This window comes from Homo sapiens, chromosome 16 (genome assembly GCF_000001405.40).
Source record: "Homo sapiens chromosome 16, GRCh38.p14 Primary Assembly".
Lineage (NCBI taxonomy): Eukaryota > Metazoa > Chordata > Mammalia > Primates > Hominidae > Homo > Homo sapiens.
This window is the reverse complement of record NC_000016.10, coordinates 10,896,539-10,922,364: the sequence shown is the minus strand read 5'-3', so window position 1 is coordinate 10,922,364 and position 25,826 is coordinate 10,896,539. Positions and strand designations below refer to the sequence as shown.

Below are 25,826 nucleotides of genomic sequence, written 5' to 3'. Positions count from 1 at the left end.
CCCAGCTCCAGACCAAGGCCACCCCCACATCCAGCTCTTCCAGGACACCAGGGAGAGACTTCAGTGTCTCCCACCCCGGGCTGAGCCACCCACCGCCCAGACTCCCACACTCACTCCATCACCCGGAGGGACACCATGTCCGGAAGCACACGAGCCAAGCTCTCGGCTCCCACGTCGCAGATGCAGTTATTGTACAAGCTGTCGGAAACAGAGGCCAGGGGGAGGGATTGGAGGCCTGTGCATGGTCAGCCTTCCAGAAGCCACCATCCCTAGATTCCAGAAAAAGCCTGGTCCCACTATCCCTGGGGGAAGGAATCAATATTTATTGCACAACAGAGCCTGGCATTGTGCCAAGTACTTACATAGGCCATTGGGATGGTTCCCATTTTCTAGATATGAAAATAGAGGCTAGGAATGAATAAGTGACTTGCTCAAAGTTTCTGTCCCCAGGTCCCACTAGTTCTCTTGTTCAGGGCTGTGGTGATTGCTTCTAGGATCTCAGTGTCCCCTGCAGCCTGGAGGTCAGCCCCGTGGGAGTCACCACCTACTGGGATTACTGCCCCATTTTAAAGACAGGCAAACCAAGACCCAGAGAGTTGAGACCACTTCTCTGTGGTCAAACAGTGAGCCCAGGAAAACAGCAGGACTAAAAGGAAGTCATTTCTTGCCTTACTGTGTGGAAACTGTCAGAACAACTTCCCAAGTTCAAATCCCAGCTATGCCTCTTACTGCCTATGTGACCTTGGGCAAGCTACTCAACTCTTCTGAGACTCAGTTTGCCCATCTGTAAAATGGGCATGATAGAGTCATTGTGGGGAGGAGTAAATGAATCAATGCTGATATAACATTTAGAACATGCCTTGGTGCCTAGAATGAACTAAATGTTAGCTATGGTTCTGACTACATCACAGGAACATTGGTGAGGGTCGCATGAGTTAACATAGAGGGTGTGACCAGCACTGGGGGCAGGAAGAGAAAAAGCCAGTCACTGGACCAGCTCCAGTTTCTGCAGCATATTCACAACCAGCATTAGTAGCAGTGAAAATAGCATGATGAGTGTCACTGATGCCAACTTCAGCTGTTTACTCGACACCAAGCAGCCTTTTAACAGGTCAGGTGCTGCTGCGGGTATGATTTCAGGGCCATGACTTTGCCATGATTCAGCCTCAGAACTCCCTTGCAGGGCTGCATATAAAAGCAGCAGGTGCAGTGGCTCACGCCTGTAATCCTAACACTTTGGAGGCCGAGGCGGGTGGATCACCTAAGGTCGGGAGTTTGAGACCAGCCTGACCAACATGGAGAAACCCCGTCTCTACTAAAAATACAAAATTAGCCGGGTGTGATGGCACATGCCTATACTCCCAGCTACTTGAGAGGCTGAGGCAGGAGAATTGCTTGAACTCGGGAGGCGGAGTTGCAGTGAACTGAGACTGCACTCCAGCCTTGGCAACAAGAGCGAAACTCTGTCTCGAAAAAAAAAGAAAAAAATAAATAAATGCAGCAGGTTTACACTGCTGCCAAGTGGATTCAGGCTAAATCAACTCACATCACGGGTCGGCCGGTACCAGTGCAGAAACTAGATGGGGGTTTTGCAATCTCTGAACCCTGGAGACCCTTCCTCCACCCCACAGGGAGAGTAATCTGACCATATTTCATCGATGCCAAGACATATATGTCACCATTTGAATATCATTGAGATCAGGATGTGTCTTATAACCAATAGCGTGTCACAGTTTGCATTTTGGCCTCATATTGGGGTCTTACAATGGATGGCATCTTAGATTCCATGAAATATGATGTTTCTTAAAGGGTAAATCAGGCTGGGCATGGTGGCTCACACCCGTAATCCCAGCACTTTGGAAGGCTGAGGTGGGTGGATCGCTTGGGCCCAGGATTTCAAGACCAGTCTGGGCCACATGGCGAAGCCCTGTCTCTACTGAAAACACAAAAATAGCCTGGTGTGGTGGCGGGCATCTGTAATCCCAGCTACTTGGGAGGCTGAGGCATGAGAATCACTTGAACCCAGGAGGCAGTGCTTGCAGTGAGCTGAGATCATGCCACTGCACCTTAGCCTGGGCAATAAAGTGAGACTTGGTCTCAAAAAGAAAAGAAAAGAAAAAAGAAAAGTGTAAATCAGATCAAGTGTCGCCTTCCCAGGCCCACCTACTTTTCCATTCACACTGAAAAACTGCAAATACCTCTTGTGACCCACAAGGGCCTCCCTGTGTGATCTGGATTCCCCTGACCTCCCCTACTTCCACCATTGCCCAGCCTCTGTCCCTCATTCACTACACACAGCCACAGTGGCCCTTCTGACCCTTAAAACACAGCCCCTTTTCCCACTTAGGGCCTTTGCACCTGCTGTTCTTTCTTCCTAGAGTCCTTTTCCCCTAGAGCTTCCCACGGAAGAATCATCTCCCCAGAAGTCCTGTACCCTCCTGGGGCTTGTTAGTTTCCTTCCCAGCATGAATCACTGTTTTACAATATTTTATTTATGTATGTGCCTAATTCCTACTACGCAAAGAAACTCAAAAGCAAGAACGACATCTGTCTAGTTCATACTTGTATCTCTAGTTTTTAGCACAATTATGAACCAGACAGATTCTATTTTTGCTTCTGAGTTTCTTTGCATAGCAAGAAGTAAGCACCTACATAAATAAAATATTGTAAAACAGTGATCATGCTGGGAAGAAATTAACAAGGCTCAGGAGGGTATAGGACCCAGCTACTTGGAAGGCTGAGGTGGGAGGTTCGCTTCAGTCCAGGTAGTCGAGGCTGTAGTGAGCCATCATTGCACCCCTGCACTACAACCTGGGTGAGACCCCATCTCCAAATAAATAAATAAATAAATAAATAAATAAGTTGGCCGGGCATGGTGGCTCACGCCTGTAATCCTAGTACTCACTTTGGGAGGCCGAGGCAGGTGGATCACCTGAGATCAGGAGTTTGAGACCAGCCTGGCCAACATGGCGAAACCCTGTCTCTACTAAAAATATAAAAACTAGCTGGACGTGGTGGTGGGCGCCTATAATCCCAGCTACTCGGAGCACTGAGGCAGGCGAATAGCTTGAACCTGGGGGGGGGCAGAAGTTGCAGTGAGCTGAGATCACACCACTTCACTCCAGCCTGGGTGACAGAGCGAGACTCCATCTCAAAAACAGAAATTAAAAAAATTAAAAATAAATAAATAATAAGGGACCAAATGCCATCTTTCCTGGGAATCTGACTCTGGTTGTCCTCAGTAAGTGAAGAGCTCTGGCGAAGAGGAGAGCAGTTTCTCTCAGTCTGGCGAGTAAGAAGAGCTGGTAATGCTGAGTTGGATGACTGGGGCTCTGGTCCAAGCTCAGTCCGCTCATTACCTCTGGGACCACACCAGGGCCTGGATGGAAGTCACTCAAAAGCAAGAGGTGCTATGCCAAGGCCTACCAGAAGGTGGCAGTGAAACACTGACCGGCATGTAAGTGACAAGGCCGGCAAAAGCTGACGTACGTGGTTAGCCTTCCAGAAGCCACCACCCCTAGGTTCCGGAAAAAGCCTGGTCCCGCCATCCCTGGGGGAAAAGGAGCAATATTTATTGCATAACAGAACCTGGCATTGTGACAAGTGCTTACATAGACCATTAGGATGGTTCCCATTTTCCAGGTAAGAAAACAGCGGCTAGGAATGAATAACTGACTTGCTCAGAGTTTCTTTCACCACGTCCCGCTAATCCTTTTGTTCAGGGCTGTGGTGATTGCTTCTAGGGTCTCAGTGTCCCCTGCAGCCAGCACGATGTGGGTTCCCTGCGCTCTGCAGCCCCCCAGCTCAGCACCTGACCGGTATCCGGGGCCCCACTCACCTTAGCCTGAGCAGGGATGCAGCGAGCGAAGGCAGGGCCTCGGCGAGTTTGTAGGCACCCAGGTCAGTGATGTTGTTCTGGGACAGACTGCGGGGACACAGTGAGGGGGAGGGCTCAGGACCAAACTTGCATGCCTCACTTTGACCTCAAGGAGAGTTCTGGGTCATAGGCTGTGAATGGCGCTGTCGACAGACTTAAGCTACCTCTCGGTAAATAGGAGGATACTGTTAGGTCCTGTGGCCAAGTGGGAGGGCAGGGATGAGGAGGTGGATGGGAGGGAGAGTGCACCCTCCTGCCCCCACCTGTCCCATGACTTTACAACATCCCCTCTTTTCCCTCTGCGCCACTTTTCAGCACTATAATGAAATAAGTGTTGGCATTATTTGTTTAATGGCTGTGTAATCCTTTCTGCCGGGTTGTGGGCTTCACATGGAGCAGGGCTGTGTCTGTTTTGCTCATTACTGTATCCCTGTGCCTAGAGCACTGCCAGGCACATAGTAGGTGCTCAATAAATACTTAAGTGGGGTGGCGGGTAAGAAAGAGGGGGACGGAAGGACTAAGGAGAAGAAATCTAGCTTACAGTGTTACCTAGGACACTAGAAATTACTGGAGAAGTCCCACAGTCCTACAATTAAGGAAATTGCTAAGTAAATTCCGGTAAATTATTTGGCCATCCTAAGACCTTGGTTGTGAGGGGGAGTGTGGGAAGATTTTGATATCCTCTAGGTTCAGTAAAAAATCATGTTGAACTGGGCGTGGTGGCTCATGCCGGTAATCCCAGCACTTTGGGAGGCTGAGGTGGGCGGATCACTTGAGGTCAGGAGTTCAAGACCAGCCTGGCCAACCTGGTGAAACCCCGTCTCTACTAAAAATACAAAAATTAGTTGGGTGTAGTGGTGCATGCCTGTAATTCCAGCTACTTGGGAGGCTGAGGTGTGAGAATTGCTTGAACCCAGGAGGTGAAGTTTGCAATAAATAGATCGTACCACTGCACTCCAGCCTGGGCTACAGAGCGAGACTCCGTGTCAAAAAAAAAAAAAAAAAATCCCATTGAACCAGGCACAGTGACTCATGCCTGTAATCCCAGTACTTTGGGAGGCAGAGGCAGGAGGATGGCTTGAGCTCAGAAGTTCAAGACCAGCCTGGGCAACGTGGTGAAACCACGTCTCTACAAAAAAATACAAAAATTAGCGGGACGTGGTGGCATGCACCTGTCCCAGCTACTCAGAAGGTTGAGATGGGAGGATTGCTTGAGCCTAGGAGATTGAGGCTGCAGTGAGCCATGATTACACCACTGCACTCCACCCTGGGTGACAGAGCGAGACCTTGTCTGAAAAAAAGAAAAAAAATCACATTGATCCTCCTGTATCTTATCCATCTCCAACTTCCCAGAGCCCAGAACAGTTTTTAAAAAGTTTTACTGTTTTGATAATAATGCTTTATTGATAAATCCTAATCTATCTCTCCTATTTCACCCCCCAGTATAATTTTCTGTCACCAAACATTATTTTCATTACTGTATACTTTATAATTACCGACTTGTTTACTTGTTCATTGTGTCTCCTCACTAGAATTTAAGATTCCTGAGGTCAGGGGATTTATTTGTTTTGTTTAAAGCTGGGTCTCCAGGGCCTAGAAAGGTGCCTGCACATAGTAGGTCCTCCTTAAATATTTGTTGATTAAATTAATAAATGGTTGGGTAAGTAAAGAAATGATTGAGTGAGCGGTTGGATGAGGGAGTAAAGAAATGACTGCATAAGTGAATGGATGAATCATTGAATGGAAGGATGAATGGCTGATTGAATAGGTGAATGAGTGAATGGATGAATCCACTGGGGCTGGGCATGGTAAGTCACACCTATAATCCCAGCACTTTGGGAAGCGGAGGTGAGGAGATTCCTTGAGGCCAGGAGTTCAAGGCTGCAGAGGTATGATCATAGCACTATATTCTAGCCTGGGTGACACAGCGAGCCCTTGTCTAAAAAAACAAATTTAAATTAATTTTGAAAAAGTCAGCCGGACTTTGGGGGCCCGATTCAGCAGGAAGGGCAGGCCCAGCTCACTCACTTGAGGGTTTCCAAGGACTTCAGCTGGGGGAAGGTGGCTGAGAGCTGCGAGACACCCTCGTCCCCGATCTTGTTCTCACTCAGCGCATCCAGGCTGCAGGTGGAATCAGATGGGGGCCATCAGCTAGCGTCCTGGGGCCATCTGACCCTTCCCATCCCAGTGAGGGCCTCCTCAGCCCTGGCACCTGCCCTTCCCACCCCCCAGCTCTAATACACCATAGGCAGCCGGCACATTCCTGAGCTTTTCAGACGAGGACTTCATCACCTGGGGGCTCCAACCAGGCAGCCAGAGGGCAAAGTCTAACTCATGATGGACTTGAATCCCTGTTTAGCTTCTTAGGAACTAAGCCCCTGAGGCTTGGCAACTTCCTTAACCTCCACTGTAAAGTAGGACTATGCTCCCCAATCCCTCCCCAGCTGAATTGCTGAGAGCAGCAAATGAGGTTGTGAGGAAAGGAGTTTCAAAGGTCACGAAAGGATCTACAACTTTTTTTGTCACTGGGGATTCCCATCTGATGTGGCGTCATCTCATCACTCATGTGCCAGCCACATTGAGGATGCAGTAGGCGGAAGAGAGAAAAAAAGGGACAAAGTGAGGGCTTTTCTTTCTGCAGGTGCCTTGGGGGCAGGATTTGGGGTTGTCAAAACCCAGAGGTTGCTGGGCACTGTAGCATGCACCTGTGGTCCCAGCTACTCAGGAGGCTGAGGCAGGAGGACTACTTGAGGCCAGGAATTCGAGGCTGCAGTGAGCTATGATCACAGCACTGCACCCAGATGTTGAGAGGAAGGGGTCCCAGAGTCTATACTCACTCCAGATGCTGCAGGGAGGAAAAGGCCGTGAGGATCCGCACCAGTTTGGGGAAAGCCTGGGGGCCTGAGACAGGGCCCAGCCTAGGAGGCAAAGAGCAAGGGTAAGACCTCCAGTCACAGTCACAGCCCCTCATTCAGCCCCAGGGTGGGGCAGAGACAAGGCACAGAAGTCAGGTCCTGTCTGAGGCCCCTCCTCTTCCCTTCCACCCCAGCCTCTTAGGTCCCTGCAACCCTTCCACGTAGGACCCCAATCTTTTCTGCTTGGGGTAGATTTCATAGCCCCCCATAAGAGGCCAGTTGAGGCTGGGAACAGTGGCTCATGTCTGTAATTCCAGCATTTTGGGAGGCCAAGGTAAGAGGACTGCTTGAGCCCAGGAGTTCAAGACCAGCTTGGGCAACATAGTGAGACTCAGTCTCTACAAAAAACACAATAATTAGCCAAGTGTGGTGGTGTGTCCTGTGGTCTCAGCTTCTTAGGAGGCTGAGGTGGAAGCATCGCTTGAGCCCAGGAGGTGGAGGATGCAGTGAGCCATGATCACACCACTGCACTCCAGCCTGGGTAAGAGCGAGACCCTGTCTCAAAAAAGAAAAAAAACAAAAAAAGAAAAGAAAAAGAGGTAAGTTGGGCTCCCATCTTGGGGCTCCCCAGCTTTTGTCTCTAAGTAGGGAGCCAGTTCTTACTCTTCCCAACATCCACAGATACCCTTCTCCCGCCGCAGCCTGGGGAAGGGGTCCTGAAATGCCAGCTGACGACCACTGCCAGTGGTAAACCAGGTGGTTGACTAATATGCCTTTGCATTTTAATAACAAAAGGAACCATTTGTTGAGCATTTATTATAAGCCAGGGGCATGCTAGGCCCTTCCCTCGGCCTAGATCTCATTTACTCCTCAAGACTCTGAGCTATGGGCTCTTATCTCCATTTTACATATAGGGAAACTGAGGCACTAGGCGATCAAATAGCTCACACAGGGTCACACAGCCTGGATCAACATTTAGAGCAGACTTCAAGGGGATGAGAAAAATAAGGACAACGAAGGGCCGTTTAGTTTAAAAATATGGTTAAATGCATTCCATATAAAGAGCTGTCTTTTATTCTGCAATTATGTCCTTTGAACTTTTTCAATATTAGAATGATCATTCTTTGGTAAAATTATGGTGCCAGCAGTGGGTATTTTGTTGTTATTTGTTTGTTTGAATGAGCATCCTTGATAAACATTAAAAAACAGTAACCGCGCACGGTCACTCGAATTCATTCCGAAATGTTCTCGGCCTCTGAAATCCTGAAGTCTGAGAACACTGGCCTCAGCAAAAGGCCACAGGATCAGAGTTTGACTCCAGGATCTGGCATTTGGCTCCCTGCTAAAGGCCTTGGCAAATCCCTTCACCCTTAAGTCTTGATCTCCTCAAATATTTCACCCCAATCTTATGGGGGTTCTTGGATTAAGGCATTCGTTGTTAAATATTGACCGCTTGCCTACTATGTGCCAGGCCCAGGGAGGAAAGTTGTGGGCCAAACAGACGAAAATCCCTGCCTTCTGGGTGCTGACATTCCAGGGGGGAAGATAGACAGATAATCAAAGAAATCGGAAAGCAAGCTGATGTCTGAGACAATGAATCATATGGAAATATACAGTGGTGAGGGGGATGGAGTTTTTTTTTTAACCATGAGGGGAATGGAGTTCTATTTATTTATTTATTTATTTATTTTTGAGATGGGGTCTCACTCTGTCATCCAAGCTGGACTGCAGTGGCGTGATCTCAGCTCACCGCAACCTCCGCCTCCCGGTTTCAAATGATTCTCCTGCCTCAGCCTCCCAAGTAGCTGTGACTACAGGCACCTGCCACCATGCCCAGCTAATTTGTTTTGTATATTTAGTAGAGATGGGGTTTCACTATGTTGGCCAGGCTGGTCTCAAACTCCTGGCCTTGTGATCCACCTGCCTCGGCCTCCCAAAGTGCTGGGATTACAGGCATAAGCCACTGCGCCTGGCCAGAGTTTTATTTTTAACTGTGAGGGTCAGAAAAGACCTCACTGAGGCCGGGTGTGGTGGCTCACGCCTGTAATCCCAGCACTTTGGGAGGCCGAGGTGGGGGGATCACGAGGTCAGAAGATTGAGACCATCCTGGCTAACACGGTGAAACCCCGTCTCTACTAAAAATACAAAAAATTAGCCAGATGTGGTGACATGTGCCTGTAGTCCCAGCTACTCGGGAGGCTGAGGCAAGAGAATCACTTGGACTTGGGAGGAGGAGGTTGCAGTGAGTCGAGATTGTGCCACTGCACTCCAGCCTGGGTGACAGAGCGAGACTCCACCTCAAAAAAAGAAAAAGAAAAAAGGAAAAAGAAAGAAAGAAAGGGAAAGAAAGAAAGAAAGGAGGGAAAGAAAGAAAGAAAGAAACAGGGAAAGAAAGAAAAGAAAAGGCCTCACTGAGTAAAGACCAGAGGAGGTGAAGGCATGAGCCATGCAGATATCTGGGGAGAAGTATTCCAGGCAGAGGGCACAGCCGGTGCAAAGGCCTGGAGGCAGAAGCATGCCTAGGAGGTTGAAAGCCAGCAAGGAGGCCCTGTGGCTGGAATGGAGAGAGCACCCAGCGAGTGTAGGAGATAAGGGTGAACAGGTGAGTGGGGACTGAACTGGGGAAGGACTCTGTGTACAAACGAAGTCCCTGTAGGGTTGTGAGTGGCTAAGAACCCTGATTTGACAGACAGATGAGGTCTACAGGGTGCCTGGGCACAGTAGAAGCCTGAGAAAATGCCAGAAATAGTCTTTTCCTTCCTTCCTTCCTTCCTCAGAACCTCCTCGGGGGCTTCCGGTCTCCAGGTGGCTGATCACCCGGCTCTAGGCTGTTCCACCCCATGGCCGCTGTTCCCCAGAGCGCAGTTCCGATCTTGAACTAGGGGCTTTTTCAGCTGAAAATAATTTAAGGCCAGAAAGGGCCCTCAGTTATTGTTTTCAGACATTTCCCCTTTTCAGCATCATTTTTACCTCTGGACAAATTTAGCACCTTGTCTCTGTTCAAAACAAGAGACACTGGCTTTTTTCTGGGGCACAGGGGAGCAGTGATCAGGGAGAGCTGATAGCTTGTGGGTGACCAGCTGGGGGACCACGGGCAAGTCACTTAACCTCACCAGGCCTCCGTCTCCTCATCTGTAAAATGGGGAAGATGATGACTGTCTGTCTTCCACAGTAGCTCTTGAGATTAATGAGATTATATATAAAATGCACTGAATTATAAGCTGGGCATGGTGGCTTACACCTGTAATCCCAGCACTTTGGGAGGCTGAGGTGGGAGGAACATCTGAGGCCAGGAGTTCAAGACCAGCCTGGCCAACATGGTTAAAGCCCGTCTCTACTAAAAATACAAAAATTAGCCAGGTGTAGTGGTGTACACCTGTAATCCCAGCTACTCGGGAGGCTGAGGCAGGAAAATTGCTTGAACCGAGAGGTGGAGATTGCAGTGAGCCAAGATCATACCACTGCATTCTAGCCTGGGTGACAGAGCAAGACCCCATCTCCAAAAAAAAACAGCACCGAATATACCACAGGCATAACAACTCCTTCCTAATCATTAGATGATCTAGACCCCTACCAAGGAACAAACATTCATTTAGCTTTTTCTGTGGAAGGAGCTTAGGGCCAGGCTGACCTGACCTTTATGACTTTGGATAAACAATTTAAAGTCTCTTGTTCTCAGCATTGCCATTTGTACAATGGGGAGATGATGACAATGCCTGTAGAGGAGGGTGGCCTGAGATAATTGAGATGGAAGGTGAGCTGCAAATTTAAAAGCCTGTTCTGGCCAGGTGCGGGAGCTCGCACCTGTAATCCTAGCACTTTGGGAGGCTGAGGTGGGAGGATTGCTTGAGCCCAGGAGCTCGAGACCAGACTGGGCAACATGGTGAAATCCTGTCTCTACAAAAAATACAAAAATTAGTCAGGTGGGGCATGCCTGTAGTCCCAGCTACTAGGGAGGCTGAGGTGGGAGGATCACTTGAGCCTAGGGAGGTTGAGGCTGTGGTGAGCTGTGATTGTGCCACTGAACTCCAGCCTGAGGGACAGAGTAAGACTCTGCCTCAAGAAAGAAAAGAAAAGGAAAGAAAAGGAAAGGAAAAAGAAGGAAGGAAGAGAAGGAAGGGAGGGAAGGAAAGAGAAAGAAAGAGAATGGAAAGAAAGAAAGAGAAAGGAGAGAAAGGAAAGAAAGAAAAGAAGGAAAGAAAGAAAGAAAGAGAGAGATAGGGAGGGAGGAAGGAAGGGAGAGAGAGAGAGAAAGAAAGAAAGAAACAGAGAGAAAGAAAAAGAAGAAAAGGGGGAAGAAGGGAGGGAGGGAAGGAAGGAAGGAGGGAGGGAGGGAAGGAAAGAAAAGGAAGGGAAAGGAAAGAAAGAGGAAAGAAAGAGAGAAAGAAAGAAAGAAGAAAGAAAGAAAAAGAAAGAGAGAAGAAAGGAAAGAAAGAAAGAAAAGCTATATTCTGACAGATCTAAATATAATAATTATTGTGCTTTCTTGGGGCCCATGTATGGTGGGCTGCCCCTCCTCAGTGACCCAGACACAACTGGACTCCCTAGAGCCTTGCCTAGGTCTCCATTTCTGTCACCCCAGCAACACTGCCTAGGGTGTGGCCCCCAGCCCTGGCCACACATAGAGCAACCAACTGTCCCAGTTTGCCTGGGACTAAGGGGCTTCTTGGGATGCAAGACTTTCAGTTTTCAAACCAGGATAGTCCCAGGCAAGTAGGGTTGCTTTTTCATCCTAGCTGCACATCAAAAGCTCCTGGGAATTTCAAAATGGGGGAAAGATTCTCCCTGGGGAGGCCATCCCTTGGCTGTGGAAGTAAACAAGCTCAGGCACAAGGGACGTTGTGCAGTTCCTGGCCACAGGAGGGAAAAGGACTCCATAGTCATAGTGGCATCCTCCTATGGAAGGTTGGGGACACATTGGGCCTTTTCTGATCCCTGGCGAAATTACAATTCCTGGAAAGCCTTTCTTACTCCCCTCTCCCCACTCAGCTCATTCCTTATCCTCACTGAAGCTTCAGTGCAGATATCACCTCCTCCAGGAAGTCCCCCTGACCTCCTCCAGAGGGGAGTTGATTAGACTGTCAGCTCATGAGGACAGCAGCCTCAGTCATTCAAGTGCTCAATACCTCTGTTGAATGAGTGATGGGAATGACCATGTTAACCAGCAAACGGGTCCATTAGCTTCAAATCTGAGAACCTCCAGCATTTGCCCACACTGGTCACTTTCCAGCTGCTGGAAGCTATTTCCAAAGTGGTGGGCAAGAGGGTAAGAATGATTCTGGAGATCTATCTCCATTCAGGTGGTACAAGCCCAGCTAATGCTGCAGGGGAAACCTTGCGCAGACCCACAAGACAATCCACCCCTTTGCTTACGCAAACTCCAGTTTCTTTAGGTCCCGAACAGCAGGGAGCTCCCCAGCTGTGTCTTCCGAGGAACTTCTCGTCCTGGAGAGAACAGGCAATGTTAGGGGGAGCAGGCACTGCTGTCACTGAGCCCTTACCCATGGGTCCCATGATGGCTGCCCCAGTGCCCCAAATTCCCCAGGGGGATTGCTTTCCTTGGGGCAACTGTTGTCCCCCTCTTAAAAAAAAAGATCTGTCTGGGTGCGGTGCCTCGTGACTGTAGTCCCAGCACTTTGGGAGGCTGAGGCAGGAGGATTGCTTGAGGCCAGGAGTTCAAGACCAGCCTGGGCAACATAGCAAGATCCCTGTGTCTACAAAAACTTAAAAAATCATCCGGTGTGATGACGTGCACCTATAATCCCAGCTACTTGGGAGGCTGAGGCAGGAGGATCGCTTGAGCTCAGGAGTTCCGAAGCTACAGTAAGCTATGATCGCACTACTGTATTCTAGCCTGGTAGACACAGCGAGACCCTGTCTTTAAGAAATAATAAAAATAAAAATAAAAGATCTCAGGACTGTATCTTTCATGGAAATGAGCCTCAGATTAGGCACTTACCAGTACCTATCCCAGACAGCACTTAAGAGGCGCTCAAACAATGTGTGATGAAGGAATGAATGAAAGACAGTTAACTTGTTCTGTAATCAAGTTTTGTCTGCCTTCTGGACCTTAGCTCTGCCGTCTATAAATTTGGGACAACAGTTGTCCTAAATGCCTCAAAGGGTGGCAGTAGGTGTCACTTCTGTTACTAGGTGCACAAGGCATCCTTGTTAACTCCTAGAAGGGGAGAGGTTCTCCATGGCTTTAGCTAAGACTTGGGCACATGATGGCAGGTTTTGAATGCAGCAAAGTTTTCAATTCTAGAGGCTCCGCCTGGGCAGCGAGTGCAGTGAGAGACTCTGGTTAGCCATTGCCCAGAAAGAGGGCATGGGGTGTCCCAGAGGACAGGGGGCACTGGAAATGCCCATGACAAACTTGAGAATGGGTCCTACATGTCCTCAACCTGCATGGCGTGAACCACCTCCCATCCGCCTCTCCTCTCACCTCTGAGTCTGCACAAGCTTTCCCAGGTCTTCCACATCCTTCAGGGACTTGGCTTTGAAAGGCTCGATGGTGAACTTCTCCTCTGCTGCCTGAAGTAGCTTGGTCTCCCCATGCTGCTGCAGGGACTCCCACAGCGCCACCGTGTCGCTCAAGGCAGCCCTGTGGAGGGAGGGCCTCAGACCCAGGCACGGTGACCAGGCTAGACCTTAATGGAAGGGCAGCTCCATGAAGGGTCCTCCTACCTATTAAAATACTTTCTTTCCTTAGCTCAACCTCTACCTTTCCCAGAAAGCCTTCCATGACCACTCCAGCCTTTATTGATTCCTACTTTCTCACAACTCACACAGTGGTTTTCTTTCCCTTTTTGCTTCGGCTACCAGGAAGCTCACTGCTAAATTATTGGCACAATTATGTAGGACCTTACAGCTTGGGTAAAGTATGTTTAGGGGGAAATATGGAAGCAATCCTCTGGCGATTAAGCTGAAATGCTCAAGCAGATTGCAGACCGACTTAATGAAACCAAATTAAGGAATTTAGCCTTCATCCTGACAGTGGTGGAGTGTCCCTGAAGGATTGTAAGCAGGGATGGGATACAATCAGATTCAAGTTCTGAGAAGATTGGTCTGGTTGCTGAATACAAAATGGAGTGGAAGAGGAGAGAATGGAGGCAGAGAGTCCAAGGGGAGGCCATGGCTTTACTCTTAGCATAAGAAAACGGTGGCGTGCTCAGGGGGTGGAAAGAATAAAACAAATTTGAGCCCAGGTCAGTCTCAGATTCTAGACATACCCCAGTGACTGGCACATGGCGGGCCTTCAAATATTGACTGGGAGAATGCCATTGCCTCTCACTTGCTGTGTGGCAAGTGGCTGCCCCTCTCTGAGCCTCAACATCCTCATCTTAAAAATGGAGAGAATCCATTCTGCCCCACCCGGCTGCTCTGCATACTAAAAGAGACCCCACAGAGCACTGGGCTTGGCACCAAGACCGCAGTTAATGCCCAACACAAGGATGTCTCTTCCCCAAGCCCCTCACCCCACCTGAAACGGGTGACACAGCTGAGTCCCACGAGGCTCCCCAATCCAGAGGGGCAAATGCCAGTGCTGCGGAGGTCCAGGGAGAAGTCTTGGCCCGCCGCCTCCAAGGCCTTGCCCAGTACATGTGCATCAGGAGGCGTGAGGCGGGTGCCCAGAAAAGAGAGGCGGCCGGGGAGCTCCTGTACCACGTGCTGCCAAATTCCAGCCTCCTCGGCCTCGTGGGCGCAGTGCAGCAGCTCCAGCAGCTGCCGCGCCCGCAGTGTCCCCGGCTGCAGCCGCTTCAGGTACCTCGCAAGCACCTTCTGCTTCCTGTCCACCGAGGCAGCCGCCGATGGCCCGAGTAGGGCTCCCAGGCAGCGGGCGGGAGGCTGGAAGATCAGCCCAGCCAGAAAGCGTGGCACGCCCTCCAGCCAGTTGTCATAGGGCCTCTTCTTCCTTGGGGTCAATGCTAGGTACTGCGGGAGCTCCTTGTCCTTGATTTCGCCACTCAGAGCCAGCCACAGGGCCCCCAGGAAGCATTGCAGGAGGAAGCTGGGGAAGGCCAGCTCGGACTCTGCGGCCCGCGGTGGGTGTTGGACTAAGCCTTTGGCCATCGCCCAGGTCCTCACGTCTGCGGATGGGAACTGGTCCTCCTGTAGGGTACTTTGATGTCTGCGGCCCAGCTCCCAGGCCAGCTTGGCCAGCTCTGCCAGGGCCCCGGGGGGGCTGTCGAGGGCTGCACGGCCCAGCAGGCCGACATAGAGTCCCGTGAGCGTGGAGGGCAGCTTGGCGTCCTCCCCAAGCTCCAGCAGGGCCTCTGAGAGCTGGCACACTGCCCGGCACAAAGTAGGGCTGTGGCTGTGACTGAGAAGAAGTGGCCGGTCCCGGAGGAGCGTCAGGGCTCTGTCTTGGTGCTCTGTCATCCCTGAGCTCTCAAAGTAGCGCATCACGTATGCCTGGGCCTGCTCCATGGAGAAGCCGGACAGCTCAAATAGGGCGTCGGCCTTGCTCAGGCTCTGGACCAGGCGGCCCCGGGGCCGGGCTGTGAGGAGGAGGGTGCAACCTCGGAGCAGCTTCTTCTGGAAAAGGCCGGCCAGCAGCCCCCGGAGGGAGCAGGGCTCCGCCGGTGCCGGTCCGCACGTGCTGTGCAGGAAGCCATCTTGCGCTTCCAGCTCCTCGAAGCCGTCTAGGATGAGCAGAACGCGGTCAGGTCTCTTCAAGATGTGGCTGAAAACCTCATCGGCCGCCACGAGTGGCTGTGGGCCCAGGGAGAAGAGCAGATCCTGCAGGCCATAGGCATCCCCCGGACGGTTCAAGCAATGGCAGGGGACAGAGAAGACAAAGTCGTACTGGGGAAGCCGGCCACAAGCCCAGGCCCGGCTCACTGCCCCAGCCCAATAGCTCTTGCCCTGACCAGCTTTGCCCAGCACAGCAATCACTCGTGTCTCACGCGGCCGCCGGTGCTCCTTGGCAGCCAACAGCACCTCAGCCAGGCCTCCTTGGGCCAGCTGCCGTTCTGCCCAGTCCGGGGTGGCCAGTTCCCGCTCCAGGCTCTTGCTGCTGCTCCTCTCCAGCCTGGCCTGCACCAGATCCACCTCCACTAGGATGCCATCCGGGCCTGCGGGCTCGGCACCATACGTGTCCTGCAGTGAGCGGTAGAACTGCTCCACCGGCTCTGCAAAGGCCAGGGGCGTGTCAGGGTGGGGGTATGTGAGAGGCAGGGCCAGGGCCAGCCACCACAAGGCCAGCACTGCCACCATCATTTACATCTGTTCCCCACACAGTTTTTTTGTTTGTTTGTTTTGTTTTGTTTTGAGACAGGGTCTGGCTTTTTTGCCCAGGCTGGAATGCAGTGGTGTGATCACAGCTCGCTGCAACCTCAACCTCCTGGGCTCATGCGATCCTCCTGACTCCACCTCCCAAGTAGCTGGGACCACAGACATGTGACACCATGCCCAGATAATTTTTTGATTTTTTTGTAGAGATGGGGTCTCACTATGTCGCCCAGGCTGGCGTGCAATGGCACAATCATGGTCCACCACAGCTTCAACCTCACAGGCTCAAGCAATCCTCCCACCTCAGCCTCCTGAGTAGCTGGGACTACAGGCGCCCACTGCCATGCCTGGCTAATTTTTCTTTTTTGTTTTTTTGTGGAGATAAGTTCTCACTATTTTGCCCAGGCTGGTCTTGAGCTCCTGGGCTCAAGCAATCGTTCCGCCTTGGCCTCCCAAAGTGCTGGGATTACAGGTGTGAGCCACCACATCTGGCCCCCATACAGTCTTCATCATTTGCTTCATTCAGTCACCCACCACTCATTCATTAGTTCACTCATTTCCACACCCATTCCTTCACTCATCGTCTCTCTTGTTTAAGTGTCCACTCCTTTTAGACCTTTTCTCTCTTTTTTTTTTTTGAGATGGATCCTGCCCTGTGCCCCAGGCTGGAGTGCACTGGCGCAATCTCAGCTCACGGCAACCTCCACCTCCTGGGTTTAGGCGATTCTCCTGCCTCGGCCTGCCAAGTAGCTGGGATTACAGGCACCCACTACCACGTCTGGCTAATTTTTGTATTTTTTAATGGAGACGGGGTTTCACTATGTTGGCCAGGCTGGTCTCGAACTCCTGACCTCAGGTGATCCACCTGCCTTGGCCTCCCAAAGTGCTGGGATTACAGGCATAAGGCACCATGCATGGCCATCTTTTCTCATTCCTTCATTTACTCACTAAGCTTTTTCTTCGCTTGATCACTACTCACTCACCATGGGGAGGTCATGGGAGGGAGTGTTAAGAGTTAAGACAGTGGAGCCCACGTGTCTGGGTTCAAATCCCGGTTCTACCACTTGCTGGAGCAATTCTGAGCATGCTATACATCCCACCATGCCTCAGTAGCCTCATCTGGAAAATGGGGATAATATTGGGATTGTGTGAGATGTTAATGATTTAGCATACCTAACATGCTTAGACCAGTATGTGAGAGTAAGCATTTAGTAATTTAGTAATTCTCTTATTCACTGGTTTATTCCCACTTTCCATTGCTCCCATCCTCATCAACTTCTCACTTCATCCACTCACTCACTTCATCATTCGCTTGCCCCTCATTCATTCTCTCAGCCTGACAATGAAGTGTTAACACCCAGTGCAGGCTTATTGAAGGGCAATAAATATTATTTGAGGGAGTGGTGGAGTGAATGGTGAAATGATGGCATAATCAAATAAGTGAATGAATGAATGAATGAATAAATAAATGAGTGTGTGAGCCAACAAAGAAGGGGTTGAATAAGTGTCAAGTGAATGAGCAATGTGAAGCCAGATATGGGCTTCCATCTCCACCACCCAGGGCAGAGAGATCCCGCATCACTCACCAGGCCATTTTGGAAGCTTGTTGGAGACCTCTCCAGCTGCCGGGCATTGGGTGGGGGACGTCTTGTGCTCTGGAGATGGAGAAGCAGGTGCCAGATTTAGGGTGAGGGTTACCCCTGGGGACCCCCCTCCCTCTGGGCCACTTAGTCCTTACAGCCTTCATGGGCTGAGTTTCCCAAGATGGAGGTTATAAGATAGCGGCCTGAGGCTGTATCTAACTCAAATATGTCTTTCTTTGGCCAACTGTACTTTTAAAAATTTCACTCATGTTTAAAAAAGAAAATCGCAATATCAGGCTGGGTGCAGTGGCTCACACCTGTAATCCCAGCACTTTGGGAGGTCGAGGCAGGTGGATCACTTGAGATCAGGAGTTCGAGACCAGCCTGGCCAACATGGTTAAACTTGTCTCTACTGAAATTACAAAAATTGGCTGGGTGTGACGGTGCACACCTGTAATTCCAGCTGCTCCGGAGGCTGAGGCAGGAGAATCACTTGAACCTGTAGGGCGGAGGTTGCAGTGATCTGAGATCGCACCACTGCACTCTAGCCTGGGCAACAGAGTGAGACTCCATCTCAACAATAAATAAATAATAAAATAAAAATTAAAAAATCACAATATCTATGTAAAAATCAGGGTTTTCAACTTCAAAAGATCTGACCACATTGTCTGGCTTTTCTGCTGGGTAACAAGCAGCTGAAGGCTGATGGCTGTATTTGGATGGGATGTGGATTCTCTAGCTGTCCATTCCCCCACAACCATGCCTCCACTCCCTGGAGACCCTCCCTGTCCCGACTGACCCCTAAACATGACCTGTTGTCCCTACAGGCAGCTTTGCTTGTGGATCTTATTTGAGACAATTCCTTCCCCAGGGCCTCGATCCTGCTTCTAGTACCTCTCACAGGCCCTAAGGGTCCTTACCTGTCATGTTTGCTCGGGAGGTCAGGGCAGGTTCAGGCATGCTGGGCAGGTCAGTGGCTGATGGAGCGAAGGGGCTGGTGGAGCCTGGCCGGTCTGGAGATGTTGGGAGGCCGTGGACAGTGAATCCACTGGGAGGGGGTACTTGGCTGGCCTGGGGCACCTCACCTACATTGGGGGTGGAGAGTGGTGTGAGAATAACCAGGTATTGATTCCAGAAATGCACTTGGGTCACCCCTACTCCAAACTGGGCTGTGGAGCTCAGGAAGTCTGGAGAGAAGAGAGTAGAACTTCCAAAGGAAGATATTTCAGGACAGAGCTGAAGAAAGAGCTCTGGAGTTACATCTAGCTCCTGGAACCTTGCTTTTCCAATCTGTGAAATGGGTGCAATTAGCTCATAAGGAACTTAGGGCAGGTACTACTATTGCACTCTTCCTGCTGTGTGGTCAGTGCTCATTTTCCTAGATATCAGGAACTGCTTCTCTGCTTCTGAGATACCAGTGCGTTATACTGAAACTGTCTTGCAACCAGGAATGGATGCTCTGGACTTGAGTGGAAGCATCCTCCTGGTCTCATCCCTGACAGCCCAAACACACCTTCCCTGAGACAAGTCACAACCCCTCAGTGTGGTGGGTCAGTAGGGACCATTTTACTGATTAGGAAACAAGACAAATCAGAGAAAGCTATGCAAGGATGCACACCAAACTATTCACATCAGTATACTAAAAGAGTGAGAGAGACAGTGAATTCTTGTAAACATCACTTGTCATTAGCTTATTAGTGAGCATGTATTGATGTTGCAATTTAAAAACAAAAACATTTAAAAAAAATAAGGAAAAACTAAGGGTCAGAAGGGGAAAGCAACATATGGAAGGCCACACAACCACTCTTGGTCATGCACCCAGACCACCTCAGGAATCTCTGCTCTTCTGCTTTGATTTTTGGGAAATAGGGACAGAGAAAGTTGTGCTGGGGAGGGAGGATCATGAGAAGGTGCTAGGGCACCACTGCCAAGTGCATGGAGTATGGGGAGGATGAGGTCAGGGAGCAGTCAGGTAGGAGGGAGAGGTGGTCGGGGAGCCAGGCCCCGCACTCACCATGGTAGATGAATATACTGGAGACCCCTGTTCCAGCCTCAGAGATTTGCCAGAGCCCATGGGGCAGAGTGGAGATGGTGGGGACAAACTGGATGGGTCCCTCAGGGAGATTCAGGCAGCTCAACGAGGAACTGGAGAAAGGCACTGCAAGAGACAAAGGCAGTGAGGTGGGATCTTGCATAGCACCTGTGTTTGCGATTCTGCTTTTGCTTATTTGATTAATGTCTGACCCCCCTAAAGGGCCCTAATTTCCCTAAGAGCAGTAGCTGTTTCTGTCCTGCCCTGATGGAATTCTTAGCACCTAGCAGAGCAGTTGGCACAGAGAAGGGGCTCCATGAAGAGCTGATGAACGAATAAGGCTGGCAGGTGAATGCTCTAATTGGTGGAGATTCCCTCCTGATGCTCGCACGGATGTGTTTCCTTCTGAGGCATGTTCTCTGCCAGGGATTGAGCTGACGGGGGCCCCAAGGATAAAACTGGCTGGGGCAGAGGTGAGTGACACTGATAGGGTTGGGGAGAGGTGAGGTCCAGTTCCTGACAGTCCCTGCCTTAGTGTCAACTCCTTATCCACCTCCCAAGAGGGAGAAAGCCCACTCTCTCCAAGCCCCCTAACATACTGGGAATCTGGTCGGTTTTCTCCAGGCGCATCTGGCCGGAGGCTGGCTCCTGGTTGAACAGCGCAGGCAGTGGCAGGCAGGGCAGGGTGGAGCAGTCGCTCACTGGTCCCACTAGGAGACTGCCAGTCACCACAGTGGGGGGCTCAGCTGTGAGGAAGTGGGCTGTGTTAGAGACTGGGTGCTTGGAGGGGCCTTCCTGGGATGGGGAGGGCCCTGGAGTGGCATGGATGTCTCTCCTGACAGAGGAAATGCTTGTCATCTTCTCAGCCCTGGCTGCAGCTGTGTTGATCAGCAACTGCTCTGTGCCAGGCAGTCCCCCAGTCCTCTCCTTGTGACTTGGCTCTGAGAGCTATGCTGAGCAGGACCCTAGGGCCTCCACACGGAGAGCTGGGGCAGAATAGAACCTATGAACAATCTGTTAGCTCCAAGCCCCTACCACCTTCCACAAACAGTCGTGAGCCCCTTAGAGGACTCTAAGGGACCCCAAGCTCTCAGCCTCTACCCAAAGAAGGGCAGGGGCTGCACCATGCACCATCCCCATCAGACTTGGGCCAGGAGTTCAATCTCTTCCATCCCCTCCCCAAGGCATCCACCCTTCCCAACCCCAGCCCACCTGCCCTGCACACCTGGCTTCCAGTGCTTCAGGTCTGCCGGAAGCTCCTCTGGGAAGGCTGCAGAGAAAACATGTGATCAGCTGCCCCAGGGAGAGGATGTCCCAAGCCAGAAGGGGCTCAGGACTCTAGCAGGCTATACGGCCTTAACTTCAAGGCTGGGTAGTGGTCTTGGGGGTCCATTTTCCTCCCCTCGCTCTAACATTCCAACCCCAGCTCCTTGGCTTGAACCCAAACCCCATCTCAAACCATACCAGGCAGTGTAGCAGCAGAAGAGGCCGAGTCACAAATGGGGACACAACATGGGTTTGAGCCAAAAAACAAAACAAAACAAAACAAAGGAACCTGCTTTTGAACCGCTTCCTAGCTGTGTGCCTTTGCAATGCAGCTTCTCTGAACCTTTGATCTCACATCTATGAAATGGGGGTGGTGGTTCCTACATTGCAGGAGTATGCCAGAAATCAGTGAGTGAGTATCAAGCACTCACAGCAACAGATTAAAAACCCACGTGTCCCTTAGCAAGGGACTGCTTAAACAAATTATGGTTCATCTACCCAACGAAACACTGCATGGCCTTAAAAGAAAGGATGCTGAAGTACACGAGGGGAGTGTAAATCTGCAATTTACATTTGAAATGTACATTGAAATGTACCAAAAATATAATGAATGGGTGTGTGGATGGATAGAGGGATGGACAGATGAATAGAGATGTGATAAGATGAATAAAACCCAACATTAATTGTAGAATCAAAATGGTACATGGTGGGTATATGGACCTTCATAGTACCATTCTTTCACTTTTATTGTATCTTGAAAACATTTTTTTTTTTTTTTGAAACAGAGTCTAGCTCTGTTGCCCAGGCTGGAGTGCACTGGCGCAATCTTGGCTCACTGCAACCTCTGCTTCTTAGGTTCAAGCGATTCTCCCACCCTAGCCTCCCTGGTAGCTGGGATTACAGGTGTTCGCCACCACGCCTGGCTAATTTTTGTATTTTTAGTAGAGATGGGGTTTCACCATGTTGGCCAGGCTGGTCTCAAACTCTTGACCTCAGGTGATCTGCCAGCCTTGGCCTCCCAAAGTGCTGGGATTACAGATGTGAGCCACCACGCCTGGCCGAAAACTTTCACAATAAAATCTTGGGGGGAAATATTTATCAAATGAAAACATAAAGAAGAAAAACAAGAAAAGAAAGAAAATAAAGAAGCTGCTGAAGATAGGACCGTGTCCTCTCCCTCAATAATATGGAACGTGACCTCCCAGACAGGGAGTAATGAAGTAAATGAAGAAAGCAAAATGCAGAATAGTGTAAATAAAATGTGGTCATTTGCATGGAAAATTAAAGCAAATACAGGAGCTCGCTTTATTTCTGACAAGGCAAAAAGGAAGCTGGTCACATAGGTTGACTAAGATAGGAGCAAAACTGAGGGACTACAGAACAGGAGTGGGAGGGAGATTTTTTTTTCACTGAATATTCTTTTGGTTGTTGTTGTTTGAGACAGAGTCTTACTCTGCCACCCAGGCTGGAGTGCAGTGGCGTGATCTTAGCTCACTGCAACCTCCACCTCCTGGGTTCAAGCGATTCTCCTGCCTCAGCCTCCCGAGTAGCTGGGATTACAGGCGTGCACCACCACACCCGGCTAATTTTTGTATTTTTTGGTAGAGACGCGGTTTCACCATGTTGGCCAGGCAGGTATCAAACTCCTGACCTCAAGTGATCCGTCCCCCTTGGCCTCCCAAACTGCTGGGATTACAGGTGTGAGCCGCTGCGCCCAGCCTTCACTGAATATTCTTTGCACTTTTAAAATCTCATACCCTGTGTGCGATTCACCTGTTTAAGAACTGAATAAATAGATACAGGACTTACACATGGTCAGACCCATAATAAGTACTCAGTTAACTGTTACACCCATTTTACAGATGTTTTCATTCAACAGATATCTACTGAGGTGCTACTGCATACCAGGCACTGCACTAGATGCTGGGGAAACAGTCACGAGCAAGAAAGACAAGGTCCCTGTCCTCACAGTGGGAGAGCAAGGCGTAAAATATGTCCAGATGGTAATGAGTGCTAAACTGCAAGGAAAAAGACACACAAGGTGAGAATAACTGAGCTAATCTACATGGAAGGATGGTCAGAGAAGGGTTCCAGGAAGAGGTGACAGTTTAGCCAACACCAGAAAGATTCAAAGGAGTCAGCCATGGGAAGAACTGGGGGAAGGGCATTCCAGATAGAGACTATAGCAACTGCAAAGGCCCCGAGGCTTGAAAGGGCACATGGGTTATAGGAGTGGAGAAGCTGGTGGTGGCTGAAGTGTGGTGTCTCATAGTGGGTTTGGAGAGGGAGGAAGGGCCATACAGGCCTTGTGGCATGTATTTTGTAGCCATTGGAGGGTTATCAGGGCCATGAAATAATCAGATGTACATTTTAAGGCTCCTGTTGGCTTTTAAAGGGCCTCCCAACCAGACAGGACTTAGCGAGGGAAGCAAGTTGGACCCACAGCAGGCTTTGGAGTCAAGGAAAGGCCAGGTCTCAAGCAAGGCTAGGTTGGATCAGGGAGGGGCTCACTCACGTCTTTTCTGACTTTTCTGCCCAACTTCTGCTGGCATCTCCATACTCTCACCGATCACTTCATCTGGTCCTATGTGCTCTACTTTGAGAAAAACCAGAGACCAACTCACACAATCAATGAAAGCCCAAGGTGAGTCTCTATTGTACCCACCTTGGGGAGAGGGGTCTGACTGCCCATCAATGAATGGTCGTCAGGTATTAGGGCACCCCCCAGGGAACAAGGCAGGAAATGCAGGCTGAGCCAAGACCTCCCCACCCACCACAAACTTACTGAAAATGTCCTTGCTCAGGCCCTCCAGCTGGGAGTCCTGGAAGACATACTGGTCCAGTTCCGCTGCCCAGACAAGGAAAAGCGCAGTCAATCAACAAGGTCTAACTGAAGGCCCACTGTGTGCCAGGCCTTGGGCTGGGGAACCTCTGGGCCTGGCACACAGTGGGGACTCAAGAAATGTTTGTTGAATGAATGAATGATCAAACAAATGAATGAACACTGACACTCCAGGGGCCCTTAATCTAATCAAAAGGATGAGGTATGTATCCATGAAAACTTATCTACTGCTACAAAGAAGAGCAAGGCAGAATGGTAGAGTTACTGCAGGATTTGAGTTCAAATTCCACCTCTACTTTCCACTAGCCCTACTAGCTGTGCAATCTTGGGCTACTTATTTAACCACTGTGGGCCTCCATTTTCTCATCTGTGTAAGATGAATAAATAATGCCTACTACCCAGGAATCGATGGTGATAATTAGAGGTTCTACATCTAGAGCATCCAACACAGTAGCTGGTATACAGTAGGCACTCAGTAAATAGTGGTAACTATATAAAGGGGTACATGGCTCAGAGCCCTTGGAATATAGGCACCATGACATGAAGTCCGAGAAAAAAGGTGTATGGTGGAATAGGGCAATCAGGGAAGGCTTCCTGGAGGAAGGGATCCTGGAACCAGGCCTTGAAAGATGAGGCAGAGTCTGGGAGAAGGAGAACAGATAGCTTTCTGGGTCACAGTGGCAGAGTGAGGAAACTTGTTCAGAGTATGTTTAGGAAACCCTGAGAGATAGGTGACGGTGGTAGAAGTTTCATGCTGGGGAAAGTTAGGACTTGATTTTATAAGCAATGGGGAGCCATAGAAGGCTTCTGAGCTGAGGAATGGAATGATGGCCATAATGAAGGTGATGAAAATGAAGATGATAATAATGATGGTGATAATAATGATAACGGTGGTTGTGGGGTAGTACCTAACATCTACTGAATGCTTACTCTGTGCAAATTCCTTTTCTAAATGCTTTACACATTGTAACTTATTCAGTCTTACAACCATCCCGTGATGGTGGGTGTGATTATTATCTCCATTTTACACATTTAGAAGCTAAGGTCATATTTCAGGATGCTGCAAAAGAATACTTGCCCAGGCCTGGGCTTCACCTTCCAGAAGCAGAGAGAAAACCCACAGACTTGAGGAGCAGACTTGGGTGAAGCTGCCTGTTATGACGTGAATGTTTGTCTTCTCCAAAACTCATGTATAAATGTAATCCCCTATGTGGCAGTATTGAGAGGTGGGGCCTTTAAGAGGTGACTGGGGCTTTTCCTTGATGAATGGGTTAATCCGTTCATGGATTAGTGGATAAACAGGTTAATAAGTTAATGGGTTGTCGTGGGAGTAAGACTAGTGGTTTTATGAGAAGAGGAAGAGAGACTATCACACCGAAACCTCTTGCCTCGTGATGCCCCACACTGCCTTGGGACTCTGCAGAGAGTCCTCACCAGTAAGAAGGCCCTCACCAGATGCAGCCCCTAACCTTGGACTTCTCAGCCTCCATAACTGTAAGAAATATTTTTTTTCTTTATAAATTACTCAGTGTCAGGTATGTTGTTTTAAGCAACAAAAAATGGACTAACGCACTGCCTCACCTATTTGCTTAGACAGCTTTCGCTGCCTGTGGAGATGCCACTAAGGGGGGAGAAAAACACCCAAATCCTATGACATGCCCAAATCCTTAATGACTGCCTCCAGTTGTGAGGAAATGTGAATGTCCTCAGCCCCAATCACTTCTGCTTCCCCCATGTAAATCCCCAGGAAGGGAAGGAAGCAGTCAAGCTCTCAGTTCTGTAATTTCTGAAACATGAACAATTACTAGTCCCCTCCATTTTCTTCCTTGGTATGATTTTCAATACACTGTGCTCTGGGGAAAAATTGGCCACATTTGGATCAAGCACAGAACTGCTGAATGCTGCTGTTCCTGGGTTGGCAGGAAGAAGACCACTAAGAAGAGTTTTGCAGGTTGTTCACTGCACACAGGTGCCCAAGCCAACAAGGAAAATGGGGGCAGGACTCCGGCTTGCACTTTGCTAGCCAAGCAGTTACTTCCTGGTAGGGGCTGCATCCTCCAGAAAAAGGCCACTTTTTTCTATTTCAACATAGGCTCTGTATGAGGTGGTGGTGATGCTGGTGAGAAGAGATTCTCTA

At 49.8% G+C, this 25,826-nt stretch overlaps 1 protein-coding gene across 32 annotated transcripts in view, besides 1 other annotated feature; it reads right to left on the bottom strand.

Moving 5' to 3' along the window:
- CIITA (class II major histocompatibility complex transactivator) overlaps positions 1 to 25,826 on the bottom strand; it is a 76,816-nt gene that overhangs the window by 20,657 nt on the left and 30,333 nt on the right. For 10 of the 32 annotated variants that reach the window (XM_011522485.3, XM_011522484.4, XM_006720880.4 and 7 more), the window contains exons 4-17: positions 23,633 to 23,695; positions 23,363 to 23,443; positions 20,807 to 20,851; positions 20,181 to 20,327; positions 19,564 to 19,707; positions 18,470 to 18,634; positions 17,553 to 17,621; positions 14,216 to 15,866; positions 13,178 to 13,336; positions 12,106 to 12,177; positions 6,715 to 6,795; positions 5,906 to 5,998; positions 3,839 to 3,925; positions 115 to 198 (exon numbers count right to left, since the gene is read on the bottom strand). In XM_011522485.3, the coding sequence (XP_011520787.1) occupies positions 115 to 198; positions 3,839 to 3,925; positions 5,906 to 5,998; positions 6,715 to 6,795; positions 12,106 to 12,177; positions 13,178 to 13,336; positions 14,216 to 15,866; positions 17,553 to 17,621; positions 18,470 to 18,634; positions 19,564 to 19,707; positions 20,181 to 20,327; positions 20,807 to 20,851; positions 23,363 to 23,443; positions 23,633 to 23,695 (2,941 nt within the window). Of the gene's footprint in view, positions 1 to 114; positions 199 to 3,390; positions 3,551 to 3,838; positions 3,926 to 5,261; positions 5,817 to 5,905; positions 5,999 to 6,714; positions 6,796 to 12,105; positions 12,178 to 13,177; positions 13,383 to 14,215; positions 15,867 to 17,552; positions 17,622 to 18,469; positions 18,635 to 19,563; positions 19,708 to 20,180; positions 20,328 to 20,806; positions 20,852 to 23,362; positions 23,444 to 23,632; positions 23,696 to 25,826 lie in introns of those variants that run through there. The other 22 variants (XR_007064880.1, XR_007064879.1, XM_047434114.1 and 19 more) reach the window with 8 other exon arrangements.
- Positions 9,908 to 9,957: an enhancer, noted in NCBI's record as "active region_10400". NCBI's record gives its function as "activates an Ori minimal core promoter by ATAC-STARR-seq in GM12878 lymphoblastoid cells {active_cell/tissue: GM12878}" and the evidence as "EXISTENCE:reporter gene assay evidence [ECO:0000049][PMID:35858748]".